General features: G+C 45.1%; 1 long non-coding RNA gene across 1 annotated transcript in view; it reads right to left on the minus strand.

Moving 5' to 3' along the window:
• LRIG2-DT (LRIG2 divergent transcript) overlaps nt 1-18,114 on the minus strand; it is a 61,416-nt gene that overhangs the window by 37,664 nt on the left and 5,638 nt on the right. The window lies entirely within an intron of this gene.

Consider the following 18,114-nt stretch of genomic DNA (forward strand, 5'->3'; position numbering starts at 1 on the left):
TTAAAGTCTTATTTAGAAAATATGGTTCCTGAGGGCATAATTAGGGCAAAAAGATAGATCACTTATCTGCTCCATGTAAGTTTATAATCGTTGGAACTGTCCAAAAAGGGAATGAACTGCTTAGAAAAGAATAATTTGTGTGTACATGTGTCAGGTCACTAGGTACTGGGATAGAGCAGTGACCTAAGTTCCTGTCCTCAGGGAGTTTATTTCCAGTGTTTCTTTTTCTTTTCTTTTTTTTTTTTTTGAGACAGAATTTCACTCTTGTTGCCCAGGCTGGAGTGCAATGGCGCAATCTCAGCTCACAACCTCCACCTCCCAGGTTCAAGTGATTCTCCTGCCTCAGCCTCCCTAGTAGCTGGAATTACAGGCATGTGCCACCACGCCCAGCTAATTTTTTTGTATTTTTAGTAGAGATGGGGTTTCTCCATGTTGGTCAGGCTGATCTCGAACTCCCGACCTCAGGTGATCCACCTGCCTCGGCCTCCCAAAGTGTTGGGATTACAGGCGTGAGCTACCGCGCCCAGCTATTTCCAATGTTTCTAAGTTTGCAAGGAAAATATGGCTGGTGGCCTCTCCAGATTCCTTCCAGAAGTGGTGACATACCCATTGGGCCTATACTAGATGGGCACTTGGATTGGTGAAATCTAAGTTTGCAATAAACTCAGTAATTCCTATTTGTCTCTTTTTTTTTTTCCTTTTTGTGGAGAACAGGGTCTCGCTATATTGCCCAGGCAGGTCTCGAATTCCTGGGCTCAAGCTACCCTCCCGCCTCTACCTCCCTAAGAGCTGGGATTACAGGCGTGAGCCATCACGCTCAGCAATAATTCCTATTTGTAAACATTTGGATAACTGGATGTTTACAACTTTATTAAAATGTTTGCTACTCACACATTGAAAAGGAAACAGCTCCCATGTTGCCACTACCACTCTACCCAGGTCCTCTCCTCAGTCACTCACAGCTGTTGCTATTGTTGTTTTAACAGTTATTCAAATCAGATTGGTTTGTATGTGTACACAGACTTGTACATAAACATTCAGAACAGTTTTATTTGTCATAAACAACTGGAAATGACTCAAATGTCCATCAATAATGCATGGGTAGACAAATTAAGGTACATCCATACCATGGAAATACAAAAGTATGAAAAGGAATCAACTATTGATACACATAACAATGTAGACAGATCTCAGAAACCTTATACTGTGTGGAAGAAGCCAAGAAAAAAGAGTACATGCTGTACTATTTTATTTATATAAGAGTTTAATGTATAAACTAATCTATAGTGACAAGGCAGATCAGTGGTTGTCTGCAAACAGGGTTGGTGGGTGGGGGAGTGAGGGATGGATTACAGAGGAGCATGAGGAATGATGGGTGATGGATGGTGCATTTTTTTTTTTTTTTTTGAGACAGAGTCTTGCTCTTGTTGCCCAGGCTGGAGTGCAATGGTGCGATCTCAGCTCACTGCAACCTCTGCCTCCCTGGTTCAAGTGATTCTTCTGCCTCAGCCTCCAGAGTAGCTGGGATTACAGGGACCTGACACCACGTCCGGCTAATTTTTGTATTTTTAGTAGAGACGGGGTTTCACCATATTGGCCAGGCTGGTCTCAAACTCCTGACCTCGTGATCTGCCCTCCTCCGCCTCCCAAAGTGCTGGGATTACAGGCATGAGCCACCGCACCCGGTGGATAGTGCATTTTTAATCTTGACTGTGGTTATGGTTTCACGAGTATATGCATATGTTGAAACTCACCAAGTTGTACACTTAAAATATATGCAGTTTATGTTACGTCAGTTATACTTCAATAAAGCTGAAATTAAAGAAAAAGAAAATGTGTGAAAGGAAATACAGGAAATTCTAAGCAGTACCCTTTGAAGTTAGGACTGTGGTAAGGGATGACTTAATTTTCCTTTTTTGTGCTGTTTAAATCTGTTATAAAAAATGAGGGCCAGGCGGCCGAGTGCAGTGGCTCACGCCTGTAATCTCAGGACTTTGGGAGGCCAAGGTGGGTGGATCACCTGAGGTCAGGAGTTCGAGACCAGCCTGGCCAACATAGCAAAACCCCGTCTCTACTAAACAAATACAAAAAATTAGTTGGTCATGGTGGTGGGTGCCTGTAATCCCAGCTACTTGGGAGGCTGAGGCAGGAGAATTGCTTGGACCCAGGGGGTGGAGGTTGCAGTGAACCGAGATCGCACCATTGCACTCCAGCCTGGGTGAGGGAGCGAGACTCTGTCAAAAAAAAAAAAAAAAAAAAAATGAGGGCCGGGCATGGTGGCTCATGCCTGTAATCTCAAGACTTTGGGAGGCAAAGGCGGTCGGATCACGAGGTCAGGGGTTCGAGACCAGCCTAGCCAATATGGTGAAACCCTGTCTCTACTAAAAATACAATTAGCTGGGCATGGTGGTGTGTACGCCTGTAGTCCCAGCTACTCAGGAGGCTGAAGCAGGAGAATCACTTGAACCCAGAAGGCAGAGGTCGCAGTGAGCGGCGATCACGCCATCACACTCCAGCCTGGGCAACAGAGCAAGGCTCCATCTCAAAAAAAAATAAAATAAAAGGAAAAAATGATAGGCTTCGTGGGATGGCTCATGCCTGTGACCCAGCACTTTGGGAGGCCAAGGCGGGCAGATCGCTTGAGGTCAGGAGTTTGAGATCATCCTGGCCAACATGGGGAAACCCTGTCTCTACTAAAATACAAAAATTAGTCAGGCATGATGGCGCATGCCTGTAATCCCAGCTACTCAAGAGGCTGAGGCAGGATAATTGCTTGAATCCAGGAGGCGAAGGCTGCAGTGAGCCGGGATGGCGCCACTGCACTCCAGCCTGGGCAACCGAGTGAGACTCCGTCCCAAAAAAGAAAAAAGGGGACGGGTGAGGTGGCTCACGCCTGTAATCCCAGCACTTTGGGAGGCCGAGGCGGGCGGATCACGAGGTCAGGAGATCGAGACCATCCTGGCTAACACGGTGAAACCCCGTCTCTACTAAAAATACAAAAAATTAGCCGGGTGTGGTGGCGGGCGCCTGTAGTCCCAGCTACTCGGGAGGTTGAGGCAGGAGAATGGCGTGAACCCAGGAGGCGGAGCTTGCAGTGAGCCGAGATCACACCACTGCACTCCAGCCTGGGCGACAGAGCGAACTCCGTCTCAAAAAAAAAAAAAAAAGAAAAAACAAATCTGGTTTTTGTTCATCTTCAACATGTACTTCGCTTAGAACATGCAAGGCACTAGAATGGAAACGAATGGTTGTCTTCGTAGTAATTGTCACTGTAATCATCATTATCATCATCACCATAGTTAACCTGTACAAGGCACTCAGTTAGATGTCTTTACATGGAGTATATTGTTTGTTTAATTCTAACAGTCATGTACACTATTACTATTATTATTGAGATGGAGTTTCGCTCTTGTTGCCCAGGCTGGAGTGCAATGGCACGATCTCGGCTCACCGCAACCTTCACCTCCCAGGTTCAAGCGATTCTCCTGCCTCAGCCTCCTGAGTTGCTGGGATTACAGTCATGCGCCACCACGCCCGGCTAATTTTGTATTTTTAATAGAGACAGGGTTTCTCCCCGTTGGTCAGGCTGATCTGGAACTCCCGACCTCAGGTGATCTGCCTGCCTTGGCCTCCCAAAGTGCTGGGATTACAGGCGTGAATCACCGTGCCCAGCCAGCTATTATTTTTAATCTTCATTTTACAGATGATGAAATTGAGTCAAAGAGAAGTATTTTACCTTAAGTTACAGAGTTAATGAGTGATAGAGTTGGGATTTTATTCTAGGCTCTTCCAGAACCAGTTTACTTAACCACCACTTTATACTGCCTCTCTAGGGTACTGAAATGAAAAAGATAGAGGCCCTGCTGTTGAGGCATTCATGGACTGGTGGGGAGATGGGTACCAAAACACATTGACCCTACCACAAGGTGTGTACAAAGTACCGTAAGAGGACCAAGGAGGCCAGGTGTGGTGGCTCACACCTATAATCCTAGCACTTTGGGAGGCCAAGGTGGATGGATCGCTTAAACCCAGGAGTTTGAGACCAGCCTGGGCAACATACAGAAACCCTGTCCCTACAAAAAAAAAAAAAGAAAAAAAAGAAAAGAAAAAATTAGCCGGGCGTGGTGGTGTGCACCTGTAGTCCCAGCTACTCGGGAGGCTGAGGTGGGAGCATCCTGTGAGCCCGGGGAGGTCAAGGCTGCAGTGAGCCATGATCACGCTAATGCACTTCAGCCTGGGCAACAGAGTGAGACTCCGTCTGAAAAAAGAAAAAAGAAAGGACCAAGAAAGTCCCCCTAGCCCTGCTTGGGGAAAGCAGAGAAAGTGGCATTTGAGCTGGACGTTGCAGGATAGGTGAGATTGCCACATAGAGAAGGGGGAAAGGATATAGCAGGCAAAGGGAACTGTATGTACAAAGGGCACAGGAGAATGAAACACGAAAGCATTTCATATTTTGGAGAAAAGCAAATCACGTGAAGAGAGAATAGGGTGTTACAGTGGGAGGTGAGGACGGAGCCAAATTATGAGAGGCCTTGATGGCTGTTCAGGAGCCGTGGAAAGTGTATGAACAGAATGACAGGGTCAGAGCTGTGGTGAGGATGCTGGTGTGACTCCACCTTATCAGCTTAACATGGAGAACCTGAGACTTTCACCACAAGTCCAAAGAGACCCTGAGCTCAAACTGGTTATGACTTTGAAAGAAGAGGAGTTACTGCTCTGTTTATTGTTTATTTGCTTTTGCTTTGTTTGCTTGGGCTACTGGTTTTAGAAGGGGCAGGAAGAGGCTCCAGCAAAATATTTGCTATTTTCTTGTAAAATAGAAACACCAGGCATGCTTCCCTCTTCATTGTTCTTACAACCTATATAAGGAAGGTTATTATTCTATTTGGATGCTTTCAGTTTCAACTAACAGAAAAATAAACTTGAATAAGGAATTTGCACTTCATTATGCTGGAAAGTCCAGAGGCAGCTGGCTTTAGATGAGGCTTGATGTAGCCCCAAAACAATGTCTTTCTTTCTTCTCTGCTGTCTTTATACTAAAGCTGACCTCCTTTGCAATCCCAAGATGGGCTACCTACCTGCCTTCTCTTTATGCTCAGCAAGAAAGACAGCATTTTTGTCCCAGTGTTTCCAACAGTCCTGAGAATCACCCTGATTACAAAGCTTTGGCCATATGCACCAATCACAATAGCGGTGGATAAAATGCAATATTACCTTTGCCTTTAGGGATTTCTTCCTTGACCCCTGAAATCAGGGAAAGAATCAACTTTTCCAGGACTCAAAATGTCCAAATGTAAAACAGGACTCCTGGGAAAGTGGAAAGGGATCAACCAACAACCATCCTCTACAGTCATAATGAAAATTCAGAGGACTCACTAAAAGCCTTGATTTTCACATAATCTTACTGATCTTTAGTACCCCTGAAAACTTCACACTCAAAGCCTCTGTTTAATCCATTGATTCTCAATGCCTTCAGAGATTCTGACTTCACTGGCCTAGATATAAGCATTTTGTTTTGAGCTCGCCAGGTGATTCTAATGAGCAGACAGAGCTGAGAACCATTGCATTAATCTTTCATGATTGCCACTTCTGCAGTCATATGCTTAGTTTTACATACAGCTGAACTATGTTGAAACTAAACAAGAATGATAAAGTCAAACATGTAATACAAATAATAATAACTCTTATTGAGAATTATGTTTCAAGCACATTGCAAGATGTTTTACATACATTGTCTCATTTCATCTTGTGAAACACAGAATATTATCATTATTATTATTTTTTTTGAGACGGAGTCTCACTTTGTCACCCAGGCTGGAGTGCAGTGGTGCAATCTCAGCCATGGCAACCTCCGACTCCTCTGTTCAAGTGATTCTCCTGCCTCAGCCTCCTGAGTAGCTGGGATTACAGGTGTGCACCACCACGCCCAGCTAATTTTCGTACTTTTAGTAGAGACGGGGTTTCACCATGTTAACCAGGCTGGTCTCGAACTCCTGACCTCGTGATCCGACTGCCTCGGCCTCCCAAAGTGCTGGGATTACAGGCCTGAGCCATTGCGCCCAGCCTATTTCTTAACTTAGTTGTCCAACTTAACTTAGTTGTCCAAGATCACGTATCTAGTATGTGGCTAAGACAGAACTTGAACCCATATGTACCTGACTTCAAAACTCCATGCACTTAACCCCTGTTATAAATTGTTTGTTCCAGAACCATGACTAGAAGAGATCTCATTTAGAATTCAACAATTTCCCAGAGCTCTTTAGTCCCTGACCCACCTGTGTATTTGTCAGGGCCTGCCAGGTCACATTTAGGTGGGTTTTTTTTTTTTTAACTACCTCTTAGTGCCTCCTGCACCATCTTCCATGTTTTATATATACTGTATTGCACACACCCAGATTACATTTAGTATATAGCCACAGGTATAAAAAAGGGTGTGACAAATGTGCTTACGGATTACATATTGTGCACTTTAGAGTTTATATACACACTTATATTTTACACACATATAAAAATGGTGAATATAATGTAGGGAAGAGAATATTGACTCAGAGTTCCATATTTGACTAGCACTGTGACCTTACAGGCACATTTGTTGAATTTCTTTTTAATCATATGTAAAATGGGGAGATAATGCGTGCTTTTCCTAATTGCACTATTATCTAAGGATCAAATGAGATCCCACACCTAGCAAGGTGTCTTGCTTGTACATTTTTATTTGCCAGCTAATGAGCTGTACCTATGAAGTCTTGTAAATATATATGTAAAAGCTGCTATCACCTTTTACAGAGTAATATTGCACCTTTGTGTATCTTTGTTGATTAGCCATAAACTCTCCCTCCCCTGTTTCTCACCTACTGACAAATTTCTGGAATTCTGTGTAATAAGCACGGGTCAGAGGTTGGAAATGTAATAGAAAACAGAGGAAAGGACAGAAGGAAAGGGAGTGAGAGAAATATTTGTTCAATTGACATACTAGCATGTTTTGATTTGTTTTTAACTAAAAAACGAGTCACTGTTGGCTAGGTTTATACACTATTGTTGGAAGTGTAAATTGCTAAAAATTTTGAAGCGGGGCTGGGTGATGTGGCTTATGCCTGTAATTCTAGCACTTTGGGAGGCTGAGATGGGAGGATCACTTAAAGCCAGAAGTTCAAGACCACCTGGGCAACACAGCAAGACCAACAAAACTCTATTAAAAAAATAGCAAGACTTTACTAAAAATTAAAAACAAAAAAAAAATTATCCAGGTGTAGTGGGATGTGCCTGCAGTCTCAGGCCTGTAGCCCCAGCTACTTGGGAAGCTGAGGTGAGAGAATCGCTTGAGCTCTGGAGGTCGAGGCTGCAATGAACTATGATCATGCCACTGCACTCCAGCCTAGGTGACAGAGTGAGACCCTATCTTCAAAAAAAAAAAAGAAATTTAAAGAGCTAGTTATCAAACTGAACATCAACATATAAATCCCACTTTGTATTAGATAATAAAAAACAAAAAATTAAGCTCACATTTATACCAAGATTTACACAGAGAAGGTACAAAAAGATAAACAAATGATTAAATTAACCATGGCTATACCTCGTGGGTGGGGTGTCTGGGAGGGGAAGTTTCACTTTTTATTTAATATTCTTCTGTATAGCTTGTTTACAAGCATTTACTATTTTTTGCAAAAGTGAAATAAGCCCAGAGCAGAGAATAGCTAGATATGCATACATCAGCTGTACTCCTGTGTTATTCTTCCTTGGCTCCTCTCTGCAAGGCCAGTTTACTGTCCCGGGAGGGTGCTGACCCCTGCCTGCCTGGTTCTTCTTGTTCTGTTTTGCAGTTCATTACCAGCTGCTTAAGCAGCAGGTTCCCAGTGGCTGGTCAGCTGGAACTGCTTCAGGAGGACAAACAGGAAGGATGCAGCTGCCAGTGCAGATTACCCTGTTAGCCTTATTGACAGGAAAAAAAATTTAAACCTTAAAATGTTGAGGAAAATGTCATGCTATTAACAACTCCCTCATGCCTCTGCCTAGATCAGGCAGTGAACTGGATTTGGGTTGCTCGGAAGGAATCCTCACAATTGCATGTAACAAACTTCCAGCTCCACGTCCTAGCAACTTGCCCCCAACACTTGGTTAGGGGTTACGTTCCACAGGCTAGATCCCATGGCAATCCTATCCCCCTACGTCAAACTAAAGCTTCCTCCATGGAAAAATAAAACGTCTCACCATTCCTGCAGCTAGCCTTCTCTCATGCAGGATGCCTGCAGGAGCTCAGAGTAAAGGGAAAATTCCTTATAAGACAATCAAGGTAAGAAGTGCAGCTGTAGTGGATGAAGTGCAGGTAGATGGGTATCGTATCTCTGCTCTGACACTTTCTAATCATGTGGCTTTAGGCAAATGACTTCACCTCTCTTAGACTAAGTTTCCTCATCTGTAAAATAGGGAAAATAAATATACCTGCCTCATAGGGTTGGACATAGAGGAATGCAAGTGCTATATTTATTTATGCAGTAAGCCTCATTTCCTATCACTCCCCACAATAGCAGTGGTTAAGAGTTCGGGCTCTGGGCCGGGCGCAGTGGCTCACACTTATAATCCTAGCACTTTGGGAGGCCGAGGTGGGCAGGTCAGGAGATCGACAACACAGTGAAACCCTGTCTCTACTAAAAATACAAAAAAATTAGCTGGGCATGGTGGCAGGCACCTGTAGTCCCAGCTACTGGGAGAGGCTGAGGCAGGAGAATGGCGTGAACCTGGGAGGCGGAGCTTGCAGTGAGCCGAGATCCCGCCACCATACTCCAGCCTGGGCGACAGAGCAAGACTCTGTCTCAAAAAAAAAAAAAAAAAAAAAAAAAAAAGAGTTTGGGCTCTGGAATCAGATTGTCTAGGTTCAAATCCTAGCTCTATTGCTTATTTTATTTATTTATTTATTTTGAGATGGAGTCTTGCCCTGTCACCCAGGCTGGAGTGCAATGGCGTGATCTCGGCTTACTGAAACCTCTGCCTTCTGGATTCAAGAGATTCTCCTGCCTCAGCCTCCGAGTAGCTGGGATTACAGGCACATGCCACCATGCCCAGCTACTTTTTTGTATCTTTAGTAGAGACAGGGTTTCATCATGTTGGCCAGGCTGGTCTCGAACTCCTGACCTTGTGATCTGCCCACCTTGGCCTCCCAAAGTGCTGGGATTACAGGCGTGAGCCACTGTGCCTGGCCTATTCCTTATTATGAGTATGATTTTGGGCAAAGCTCTTTGGACCTCAGCTTTTTCATCAGTAAAATGAATATTCTCATCTCATAGGAATCTTACGAAGATTAACTGAGTACATGTAAAACAGTAAAGTGCCTGGAACACAGGCAATCAGGAAATGAGGCTGTTCTAATTTGCTGCTGATGAAAAAATAGCATGTTTCCTATACAGAATATGAAGTTTGTAAAACCATCTTCTAAGTCCCTCCCCGGCCTCTCCCCAAACACTCAGAAAGTGAGCCGCTGGCTCTGGTCTTAAATCTAGTTCTGTCTTCCTGTGCTATACAGTGTTCCTCTCTTCATCCCTTTCCTTCTCACTCTTCCAGCTTCTCTTTCTCTCCCTGCCCAGGCCTCTCATTAGTCCAGTTAATAAACTGTTGCTGTCATTTCAGTTCAGCTCCAGGATCAGGGTCCCTTGGGGATAGGCATTATGCTGGGGAAGTGAGATGATGGGGGAGCTGCAGGGACATCCTAATTTCCACAGTGGAGTGGAAATAGGAACCAGGGTTGACAGCAGACGAACCTCCCTAGGCCCAGGTCTCCTGGGCCATCATCAGGATAATCAGTGAGAACTTCATTATATAGGGTGAGAGTCTGGCTGTTTGGCATTGTGCCAGGGTCCTATTCAGGGACAGGAAGTTTCTGGCTTGGAGATAATGACCAGCCTGGGGCCTCTGGCCTTCTGTGCACTGGCCTTCAGCTCCCTCTTGGGCATGCACACATACACATTCATGCAGGCACGCACACAAGTTCCCTGGGCTTTCAGTCAGCTCAAGGGTTTGTGGGTACATTCCCAGCCTGGAAAGCTGGTGAACAGAGTGAGGCTGGAGGGCCCAGAAACGCATGACTGCCTCTGCTGATTGCTGAGAATAATCAAACTCTGAAGTTCCCACCAAGAGCCCATTAAACCAATACAAACGTCTCATCCAGAGTGACAGCAAGGTTTCCTCCCAACCTTGGAAGGATAAAGGGGCAGGTCTGGGGAGTAGCCCAGCTAGCTGAAAATGCAAAAATGGGACTCGCTGCAGGTTAGCTCAGAAGCTCAAGCAGCCCAGGGACAAGATGGTTTGCTGGGTATGGGATGGAGGTCAGCATTTTCAATCCCCTCCTCCCCACACCTTCAGGGTATAAATCAAGTTTGTGCTGAGGATGGGGACTAGGGTGGGGGCATGAGGGGCATGGTTTGATTTTCTCAACCAGTTACGTTGTACTTACTTCTTCAGGCATGTATTTGGAAGAGGGGGTTCATATCACACTAATTCTCCTGACATGTGGCTCCCACCTGCTGCACTGTCAATACTCCTATTCACCACCTAGAATTATGAGCTTCTGTGCTGGCCTCAGCCCAAAGAGAATGTAGAAAATGGCAGGCTTTCATTCACTGCCTCTTAATTCCTCACAACCACAAAAACACCTGTGTTCTGTAGACAGACTTTACTGTAGGTCTCACAGTGTGGTTTTTAAGCATAATCCGTGGACCAGCCACTTCAGCAATACCTGGGAACTTGTTAGAAATGCAAATTTTCAGGTCCCACTTTAGACTTACTGAATCAGAAAGTCTGGGGGCCAGCTCAACAATCCATATATCAACAAGCCCTCTGAGTGATTCTTTTATGGTTGTTATTATTATTATTATTATTTTGAGACAGAGTCTGGCTCTATCACCCAGGCTGGAGTGCGGTGGTGCCATCTTGACTCACTGCAACCTCCATTTTTTGGGTTCAAGTGATTCTCCTGCCTTAGCCTCCTGAGTAGCTGACACTACAGGCGTGCACCACCACACCTGGCTAATTTTCTGTATTTTAGTACAGGCACGGTTTCACCTTGTTGCCCAGGCTGGTCTTGAACTCCTGAGCTCAAGTGATCCACCCATCTCGGCCTCCCAAAGTGTTGGGATTATGGGCGTGAGCCACAGGCATGAGCCACTGCACCCTTCACAAGCCCTCCAAGTGATTCTGATACTTGATGAAGTTTAAGAACTTACGCTGTATGTTTGAGGGTGACTTGAAAAAAGTTACAATGTAAGGAAGGAAACTTAAAACTGATTTTTTTTCTTTTCTTTTTTTTTTTTGAGATGGAGTTTCACTCTTGTTGCCCAGGCTAGAGAGCAACGTCTCAAACTTGGCTCACTGCAATCTCTGCCTCCTGGGTTCAAGCGATTCTCCTGCCTCACCCTCTCAAGTAGCTGGGACTACAGGCACGGGCCACCACACCCGGCTAATTTTTTTTGTATTTAGTAGAGATAGGGTTTCACCATGTTGGTCAGGCTGGTTATGAACTCTTGACCTCAGGTGATCCACCTGCCTCAGCCTCCCAAAGTGCTGGGATTATAGGCATGAGCCAACATGCCAGGCCAAAACTGAATTGTCAATAGAACTGTTTAAAAGCCTACAGGAGCAGCTGGGTGCGGTGGCTCACGCCTGTAATCGCAGCACTTTGGTAGGCTGAGGCAGGTGGATCATGAGGTCAGGAGATTGAGACCATCCTGGCTAACATGGTGAAACCCCGTCTCTACTAAAAATACAAAAAAATTAGCCGGGCATGGTGGCATGTGCCTGTAGTCCCAGCTACTCGGGAGGCTGAGGCAGGAGAATCGCTTGAACCCAGGAGGCAGAGGTTGCAGTGAGCCGAGATTGTGCCACTGCACTCCAGCCTGGGCGACAGAGCGAGACTCCATCTCAAACAAACAAACAAACAAACAAAAGCCTACAGGAATATAAAAAGCGTCTTTCATGGGGTTTTGCTTCCCTCTCTGGAGGTCCACGTGGTAGAGGTTGATTTTTTTCTCCTACTAAGTTAATAGAAAGCATGTACCCATACATTCACACATTAACTCATTCCTCACCTTTTCTCCACAGAGGTCACAACATTTTTGAATTTGGCATTTGTCATTCCTGTGCATGTTTTTACTACATATTTCCTACATAGTATTTTCGTTTCTTTTTTTTTTTTTCTTTGAGACAGAGTTTCCCTCTTGTTGCCCAGGCTGGAGTGCAATGGCGCGATCTTGGCTCACCGCAACCTCTGCCTCCCACGTTCAAGCGATTCTCCTGCCTCATCCTCCTTAGTAGCTGGGATGACGGGCATGCGCCACCATGCCTGGCTAATTTTGTATTTTGAGTAGAGATAGGGTTTCTCCATGTTGGTCAGGCTGGTCTCGAACTCCAGACCTCAGGTGATCCGCCCGCCTCAGCCTCCCAAAGTGCTGGGATTACAGGTGTGAGCCATCATGCCTGGCTCTACCTAGTATTTTCCACATATTTTGAACATTGTATATTTTAGATATATTGTACATATTTGTTAGCAGTTTGCTTTTTTCCCATTTGACACTGTTTTTAGATTTATCTGTGATCCTACTACATCTACCTTTTTTTTTTTTTTTTTTTTGAGATGGCTTCTTGCTCTGTTGCCCAGGCTGGAGTGCAGTGGCATGCTCTCAGCTCACTGCAATCTCCGCCTCCCGATTTCAAGCAATTCTCCCGCCTCAGCCTCCCAAGTAGCTGGGATTACAAGCCTGCGCCACCACACCGGCTGATTTTTGTATTTTTAGTAGAGACGGGGTTTCACCATGTTGGCCGGGCTGGTCTAGAATTCCTGACCTCATGATCTGCCCGCCTCAGCCTCCCAAAGTGCTGGGATTACAGGCGTGAGCCACCGTGCCTGGCCATTTCTACTTTTTTAACCCTGAGAGTGTCTTTGTGATTATTTTCACCTTAGAACACCATGCACATTTGGGATTTTTACTGGGAATGCATTCAATCTATAAATCAGTCTGAGAGAATTGACATCTTTTATTTGTTTATTTTTAATTTATTTTTATTTTTAGAGAAAGGGCCTTGCTGTGTTGCTTAAGCTGGCCTTGAACTCCTAGGCTCAAGCAATCCCCCTGCCTCAGCCTTCCAAATAATTGAGATTACAGGCCCACACCACCACACCTGGTCATCATCTTTATAATAGTGATTTTTTTTTTTTTTTTTTGAGACAGAGTCTCACTCTGTTGCCCACGCTGGAGTGCCGTGGCACAGTCTTGGCTTGCTGCAATGTATGCCTCCTGGGTTTGATTGATTCTCCTGCCTCAGCCTCCGGAGTAGCTGAGATTACAGGGACCTGCCACAACACTCAGCCAATTTTTGCATTTTTAGTAGAGACGATATTTCACCATGTTCGCCAAGCTGATGTTGAACTGCTGACATCAAGTAATCTACCTGCTTCAGCCTCCCAAAGTGCTGGGATTACAGGCATGAGCCATTTTGCCTGGATTATAATATTGATTCTTTCAGTCTGAGAGCATAGTATTTTTCTCCATCTATTTAGATCCTCTTTTATTTATTTATTTATTTATTTTTATTTATTTTTTTATTTTTTAGTATTTATTGATCATTCTTGGGTGTTTCTCGAGGAGGGGGATTTGGCAGGGTCATAGGACAATAGTGGAGGGAAGGTCAGCAGATAAACAAGTGAACAAGGGTCTCTGTTTTTCCTAGGCAGAGGACCCTGCGGCCTTCCACAGTGTTTGTGTCCCTGGGTACTTGAGATTAGGGAGTGGTGATGACTCTTAAGGAGCATGCTGCCTTCAAGCATCTGTTTAACAAAGCACATCTTGCACCGCCCTTAATCCATTTAACCCTGAGTAGGCACAGCACATGTTTCAGAGAGCACGGGGTTGGGGGTAAGGTTATAGATTAACAGCATCCCAAGGCAGAAGAATTTTTCTTAGTACAGAACAAAATGGAATCTCCTATGTCTACTTCTTTCTACACAGACACAGCAACAATCTGATTTCTCTATCTTTTCCCCACATTTCCCCCTTTTCTATTCGACAAAACTGCCATCGTCATCATGGCCCGTTCTCAATGAGCTGTTGGGTACACCTCCCAGACGGGGTGGCGGCCGGGCAGAGGGGCTCCTCACTTCCCAGAAGGGGCGGCCGGGCAGAGGCGCCCCCCACCTCCTGGACGGGGAGGCGGCCGGGCGGGGGCTGCCCCCCACCTCCCTCCCGGACGGGGCAGCTGCCGGGCGGAGACGCTCCTCACATCCTAGACGGGGCGGCTGCCGGGCGGAGGGGCTCCTCACTTCTCAGACGGGGTGGCTGCCAGGCAGAGGGGCTCCTCACTTCTCAGACGGGGCGGCTGGGCAGAGGCGCTCCTCACCTCCCAGACGGGGTCGCGGCCGGGCAGAGGCACTCCTCACATCCCAGACGGGGCGGCGGGGCAGAGGCGCTCCCCACATCTCAGACGATGGGCGGCCGGGCAGAGATGCTCCTCACTTCCTAGACGGATGGCGGCGGGGAAGAGGCGCTCCTCACTTCCCAGACTGGGCAGCCGGGCAGAGGGGCTCCTCACATCCCAGACGATGGGCGGCCAGGCAGAGACGCTCCTCACTTCCCAGACGGGGTGGCGGCCGGGCAGAGGCTGCAATCTCAGCACTTTGGGAGGCCAAGGCAGGCAGCTGGGAGGTGGAGGTTGTAGCGAGCTGAGATCACGCCACTGCACTCCAGCCTGGGCAACATTGAGCACTGAGTGAACCAGACTCCGTCTGCAATCCCGGCACCTCGGGAGGCCGAGGCTGGCAGATCACTTGCGGTTAGGAGCTGGAGACCAGCCCGGCCAACACAGCGAAACCACGTCTCCAACAAAAAAATACGAAAACCAGTCAGGCGTGGCGGTGCACGCCTGCAATCCCAATCACTAGGCAGGCTGAGGCAGGAGAATCAGGCAGGGAGGTTGCAGTGAGCCGAGATGGCGGCAGTACAGTCCAGCTTCGGCTTGGCATCAGAGGGAGACCGTGGAGAGAGAGGGAGAGGGAGACCGTGGGGAGAGGCAGAGGCAGAAGCAGGAGGCAGGAGGCAGGAGGCAGGAGGCAGGAGGCAGGAGGCAGGAGGCAGAAGCAGCTAGATCCTCTTTTATACTTTCCAGTAAAGTTTTATAATGTTCTCTATATACTTTTTCTCTTGTATTTCTTTCTTTGATCTACGTATCTTTTAGTTTTTATTGCTATTGCATATGCCATCTTAAAAATATTTTATAATTGCTGATTTATTATGATAAAATTGATTTTAGTATATTGATCTTGTAGTCACATCCTTGTTGAAATTTTTTGTTAGTTTAAATAGTTTACTTGAAATTCTTTTGGATTTTTTTCTGCAGAGAATCATATCCTGTGTAAGTAAGGGCAGTTTTGTTTGCTCCCTTATGATTTTATATCTTTAATATCTTTTTCTTATCTTGTACTGGTTAGGAACTCTAGAATAGTGTCCAGTAGAAGCAATGATAGGCATCATTGTCTTGATCCTAATGTAAAAGGAGTTTTTTTAATGTTTCACTGTTAAGTAAAAGTTGCTATAGGTTTTGGTAAACACCTTTTATTAGCAAGAAGAAGTTCATTCTATTCCAAGTTGGCTAAGAGTTTTTGTTTGTTTGTTTGTTTGTTTGTTTTGAGATGGAGTCTCACCCTGTTGCCCAGGCTGGAATGCAATGGTGCGATCTCGGCTCACTGCAACCTCCGCCTCCCAGGTTCAAATGATTCTCCTGCCTCAGCCTCCTGAGTAGCTGGGATTACAGATGCCTGCCACCACGCCCAGCTAAGTTTTGTATTTGTAGTAGAGATGGGGTTTCACCATGTTGGCCAGGCTGGTCTTGAACTCCTGACCTCAGGTGATCCACCCGCCTCGGCCTCCCAAAGTGCTGGGATTACAGGTGTGAGCCACCACACCCGGCCAAATCTTGGTGATATATTATATATCATACATTACATATTTACATATTTTCCATATATATGTGATATATATTATATATCAAATAGTACATATGTGTTAAAGAGGAAAAACCATACTATTTCAGGATGTACAAATATATGCTATATATATATATGACATATCACATATATCATATAAAAAGTCATATTTTTTCATATACTAAAATAGTTATGCTTTTTCTCCTTTACTCTGATAATGTAGTGGATTGCTAGCACTTTCTAGTTTACCTATTAAAGAGGCCATTTATAGGCCCATTTGCTGTGTGGGTGGTTTTGATGGGAACAAGATGGAAAGAAGAGTTCAGTTACAGTTACGAGGCTACTAAGGTTGTATAGATGAGAGATTATTGTGTCTTGGATTGGTGTGGAGGTAAGAGAGATGGAAAGAAGTAGTCAGTTTAAAAATATATTTTGGATTTGCTGATGGGTTGCAGTAAGGTAAGGAGTAGATGGAGAATAAAGGGAAAGGAAAGAAAAGACTCAAAGATGAGTTCTAAATTTCTGGAGATTTTTCTTTAAAAATTGTGGTAAAAAATATATAACATAAAATGTAACAATTTGGAACTATTTTTAAGTATACAGTTCTGTGGTAGTAAGTACATTCACATTATTGTGCAACCATTGCCACCATCTATCTCCAGAACTTTTTTCATTTTCCCAAACTGAAACTCACTATGCATTAAACAATAACTCCCCATTCTCTCCTCCTCCTAGCCCCTCCCAGCCCAGACAATCACCAATCTATTTTCTGTCTGTATGAATTTGACTACTCTAAGTACCTCATATAAGTGCAATCACACTATTTGTCCTTTTATAATTGATTTATTTCACTTAGCATAATGTTTTCAAGGTTTATTTATGTTGTAGCAAGTATCAGGATTCCCTTCCTTTTTTATTTTTGAGATGGAGTTTCGCTCTTGTTGCCCAGGCTGGAGTGCAATGGCGCAATCTCGGTTTACTGCAAACTCCGCTTCCCAGGTTCAAGCGATTCTCCTGCCTCAGCCTCCCGAATACCTGGGATTACAGGCATGTGCCACCACGCCCGGCTAATTTTCTGTATTTTTAGTAGAGACGGGGTTTCACCATGTTTGCCAGGCTGGTCTCGAACTCCTGACCTGAGGTGATCCACCCACCTCGGCCTCCCAAAGCGCTGGGATTACAGGTGTGAGCCACTATGCCCAGCCAGGATTCCCTTCCTTTCAAAGGCTGAATCATATACATATATATATATACATACACACACATATATACCAAATTTTGCTTGTTTATTCATCCATTGATAAGACACTTGGGTTGCTTCCACGTTTTGGCTATTGTGAATAATACTGCTATGGAACATGGGTATACCCATATTTCTTCAAGCTGTTTCAATTATTTTATGTTTAATTTTTTGAGGAAATGCTGTCCCATTTTCCACAGCCTCCCCTCCCTTCCCTTCCCCTCCCTTCCCCTCCCTTCCCCTCCCCTCCCCTCCCTTCCCCTCTGCTCCCCCTCCTCTCCTCTCCTTTCTTTTTGAGATGGAGTCTTGCTCTGTTGCCCAGGCTGAAGTGCAATGGCGCGGTCTCAGCTCACTGCAACCTCCGCCTCCTGAGTTCAAGCAATTCTGCCTCAGCCTCCTGAGTAGCTGGGATTATAGGCATGCACCACGAGGCCCAGCTAATTTTTGTATTTTTAGCAGTGATGGGGTTTCACCATGTTGACCAGGCTGCTCTCAAACTCCTGACCTCAGCGATCTGCCGCCTTGGCCTCCCAAAGTGCTGGGATTACAGGTGTGATCCACCATACCTAGCCAGCTACACCATTTTATATTCCTACCAGGAATGTACAAGAATTACAAGTTTCTCTACATCGTCACCAAACTTGTTATTTTCTGGTTTCTATACATATACATATACATATAATATATATATAATACCCATCCTACTAGTTGTGAAGTAGTATCACATTGTGGTTTTAATGTGGATTTCCTTGATGATTAGTGATCTTGAGCATCTTTTACTTGTGCTTATTGGTCATTTGTGTATCTTTGGAGGAATTCAAGTCCTCTGCCTATTTTTAAATTAGGTTGCTTTTTTGTTGTTAAGTTGTAGGAGTTCTTTATGTTTTTCTGGATACTAATCCCTTATCTGATA

Source organism: Homo sapiens, chromosome 1, assembly GCF_000001405.40.
Source record: "Homo sapiens chromosome 1, GRCh38.p14 Primary Assembly".
In the NCBI taxonomy this organism is placed as follows: Eukaryota; Metazoa; Chordata; class Mammalia; order Primates; family Hominidae; genus Homo; species Homo sapiens.